Raw genomic sequence first — 4,312 nt, forward strand, 5'->3', positions numbered from 1 at the left:
AGAACAGAGCCTTCAGAAATAATGCTGCATATCCACAACTATCTGATCTTTGACAAACCTGACAAAAACAATCAATGGGGAAATGATTCCCTATTTAATAAATGGTGCTGGGAATACTGGCTAGCCATATGTAGAAAGCTGAAACTGGATCCCTTCCTTACACCTTATAAAAAATTAATTCAAGATGGATTAAAGACTTACATGTTAGACCTACAACTATAAAAACCCTAGAAGAAAACCTAGGCAATACCATTCAGGACATAGGCATGGGCAAGGACTTCATGTCTAAAACACAAAAGCAATGGCAATGACAGCCAAAATTGACAAATGGGATCTAATTAAACTAAAGGGCTTCTGCACAGCAAAAGAAACCACCATCAGAGTGAACAGGCAACCTATGGAATGGGAGAAAATTTTTGCAACCTACTCATCAGACAAAGGGCTAATATCCAGAATCTACAATGAACTCAAACAAATTTACAAGAAAAAAACAAACAACCCTGTCAAAAAGTGGGCAAAGGATATGAACACACACTTCTCAAAAGAAGGCATTTATGCAGCCAAAAAACACATGAAAAAATGCTCATCATCACTGGCCATCAGAGAAATGCAAATCAAAACCACAATGAGATACCATCTCACACCAGTTAGAAGGGCTATCATTAAAAAGTCAGGAAACAACAGGTGCTGGAGAGGATGTGGAGAAATATGAACACTTTTTTTTTCTTTTTTTTCTTTATTTATTATCACTATACTTTAAGTTTTAGGGTACATGTGCACAATGTGCAGGTTATTTACATATGTATACATGTGTCATGCTGGTGCGCTGCACCCACTAACTCGTCATCTAGCATTAGGTATATCTCCCAATACTATCCCTCCCCCCCTCCCCCTCCCCCCACCCCACAACACTCCCCAGAGTGTGATGGTCCCCTAACAGGAGCACTTTTACACTGTTCGTGGGACTGTAAACTAGTTCAACCATTGTGGAAGTCAGTGTGGTGATTCCTCAGGGATCTAGAACTAGAAATACCATTTGACCCAGCCATTCCATTACTGGGTATATACCTAAAGGATTATAAATCATGCTGCTATAAAGACACATGCACACGTATGTTTATTGTGGCACTATTCACAATAGCAAAGACTTGGAAACAACCAAAATGTCCAACAACGATAGACTGGATTAAGAAAATGTGGCACATATACACCATGGAATACTATGCAGCCATAAAAAATGATGAGTTCATGTCCTTTGTAGGGATGTGGATGAAGCTGGAAACCATCATTCTCAGCAAACTATCGCAAGGACAAAAAACCAAACACCACATGTTCTCACTTATCGGTGAGAATTGGACAATGAGAACACATGGACACAGTAAGGGGAACATCACACACCGGGGACTGTTGTACATTGGGGGAAGGGGGGAGGAATAGCATTAAGAGATATACCTAATTAAAAAGGTTATTCCTACCCCCTTCCACATTATATTGAAAGGTAGAAAAAGTCAATTTAATAAACATTTTAAAACCCCACATATTCAGAATATTGGATACGTTATAAATGATCAAATATGGGCATAAGGATATTTAGAGTACCCCATCAGTTTTAAAAAATACATTTATACTGATTTCTGGCATTCAATTTATGTTCTTTAAATATCTAAAAGACTCATTTCTAAATCTTCTAGCTCCTGGAGAAGGGCTATCTCTTTTTGAATTTTCCCCAGCTGCTTTTTTTTCCTAGCTGTTTGCCAGTTGCTGCTTGTTATTTCAGTTGTTTGATTGTTTTCAGTTTCTTAGGTTCTCATGTTTTCCCCGCTATCTTAAAATCTCTTCATGTTGGCTGAGAGAAGATATTTTGGGGTGTGTTACCTGTTTTGCAGCGACTGGCCTTATGCTTCCTTTGTTCTTAGGGGATGTTTTGGGAAATGGCTTATTATTTGCCCTTGTAGTTTCATATTCTCTGAGGCCCCTCCTCATGCAGCTTAAGAACAATGACTTGTTCATTTCTTCTAACTGGAGTTCTAAAAGTCATTGCAATATTGGCTCCTCACAGGGTACTTAGAACTGCTTGATAAGTTATTGATTTTATTGGAAATACTATGTCCAGAATTTTTTGCTAAGGATTTCTGCATTTGATGGCATGATATTCTTGTGCAGGATAGAGCTAGTATAATTGAAAATCTCACACACATTATTAACACATAACCTGGGGGCACATGTAGTAGTTGTTGCAAGACAGGTTCAGTAGGCAAGTATCAGTCATGTATTACACCATATTAATAGAATGAAGGACAAAAATTGCATGATCATCTCACTGGATGCAGAAAAAACATTGTACAGCTCTTTATCTGGGCACTAAGCAAAGTATGTAAAATTTGAAGCCATAGGTTTGGAAATAAGTTTGTGGTTTTTAACACCCCACAATTTGTCCCCTTGATTTCCAAACCCCTACAGTAGTAATATGTATGAATACAGTGGTAATATGTATGAAGGCTATAGCAGACTGTATTACAAGAGCCAGTTCCAAAGTCAAGTTTACAATCACACAGCTAGTAGAGAATTGCTGCTTTGACAAGAGTTTTCCTAGAAGGCCCAACTCATTATAAACAGGATCACTCTTCAGTATTTACATTATAGCATTTTATTTGTTTGCCATATAGAAACATGTTTGTTATTGACAGTAGGAAACTATGGTTTTGTTGACATCTGCACTACCTATTACCAACTCACCAGTAGCTTTTAGATTGTATTTTAGTTCTCACTGCTAATGTTACTTTGCCTCAAACCAGGAAACAGGCACCATCTTGGAAGCAAGGAGTAAGCCTTTACCAGGCACAGAATCTGCTGATGCCTTGAGCTTGGATTTCCTAGCCTACAGAATTATGAGAAATAGATTTATATTATTTATAAATTAACCAGTCTATGGTATTTTGTTATAGCACTACAAACACACACATATCACACACACACATATACACATATACATACACACATGAATACACACACACATAATTGAAGATCCAGAGGGGAAAAGAGAGAAAATGGGCAGAAAAATATTTTAGAAAATATTAACTGAAAATATCTCATATTTGGTAAAAATTTTCAACCTACTTATTCAAGATTTCAGTAACTCAGGCAGAATAACCTGAGTCACCTAGGTTGACAAGAGTCAAACTATTGTAAATGAAAGATAGAAAAAGGTAATATCTTAAAAGCCACTGGAAGAGAAAGACACATACATGGGTGCAGAACGATAAAAATGAAGGCTGACTTCTCATTAGAAGCAATGAAGTCAAGAGCAAGTAAACATTTTAAATGCATTCATGTTTGTGTTTGTAGGATACTATTTGTAGAATAATATGTCCAGTGAAAATATATTTCAAAATGAAGGTAAGATAAAGACATTAAGATTGAAAAAGAAGGAATTGCTGTGAATACAGTCACACTTAAAGATAAGAAAATTTTCCTTCCTTCCTTCCTTCCTTCCTTCATTCCTTCTTTCTTTCTTTCTCTTCTTTCTTGTTTTTTTTTTTCACATTTATTCCCCTTTTATTAACTGATTTAAAAGGCAACTTTACAAAACAATATGTATATAATTATACTGTAGAATCTATAACAGAGAAATATAATGTTTACTAATAAAAGCACCTAGAAAATGGTGGGAATAAAGCTATATTGGAGTAAGAAAATGACAAGAGGGGGGAGGAGCCAAGATGGCCGAATAGGAACAGCTCCAGTCTACAGCTCCCACTGTGAGTGACACAGAAGATGGGTGATTTCTGCATTTCCAACTGAGGCACCAGGTTCATCTCACTAGGGAGTGCCAGACTGTCGGTGCAGGACAGTGGGTGCACTGCACCCTGTGTGAGCTGAAGCAGGGTGAGGCATCGCCTCACCTGGGAAGTGCAAGGGGTCAGGGAATTCCCTTTCCTAGTCAAAGAAAGGGGTGACAGACGGCACCTGGAAAATCGGGTCACTCCCACCCTAATACTGCACTTTTCCAACGAGCTTAACAAATGGCAAACCAGGAGATTATATCCCGTGCATGGCTCAGAGGGTCCTATGCTCATGGAGTCTCGTTCATTACTAGCACAGCAGTCTGACATCAAACTGCAAGGCGGCAGTGAGGCTGGGGGAGGGGCTCCAGACATTGCCAAGGCTTGAGTAGGTAAACAAGGCAGCTGGGAAGCTCAAACTGTGTGGAGCCCACCACAGCTCCAGGAGTCCTGCCTGCCTCTGTAGGCTCCACCTCTGGGGGCAGGGCACAGACAAACAAAGGGCAGCAGTAACCTCTGCAGACCTAAAT

The 4,312-nt window shown here is 38.9% G+C and overlaps 1 pseudogene; it reads right to left on the minus strand.

Moving 5' to 3' along the window:
- Positions 1,686-2,755, minus strand: EIF2AP2 (eukaryotic translation initiation factor 2A pseudogene 2; annotated as a pseudogene).

This window comes from Homo sapiens, chromosome 7 (assembly GCF_000001405.40).
Source record: "Homo sapiens chromosome 7, GRCh38.p14 Primary Assembly".
NCBI lineage: Eukaryota > Metazoa > Chordata > Mammalia > Primates > Hominidae > Homo > Homo sapiens.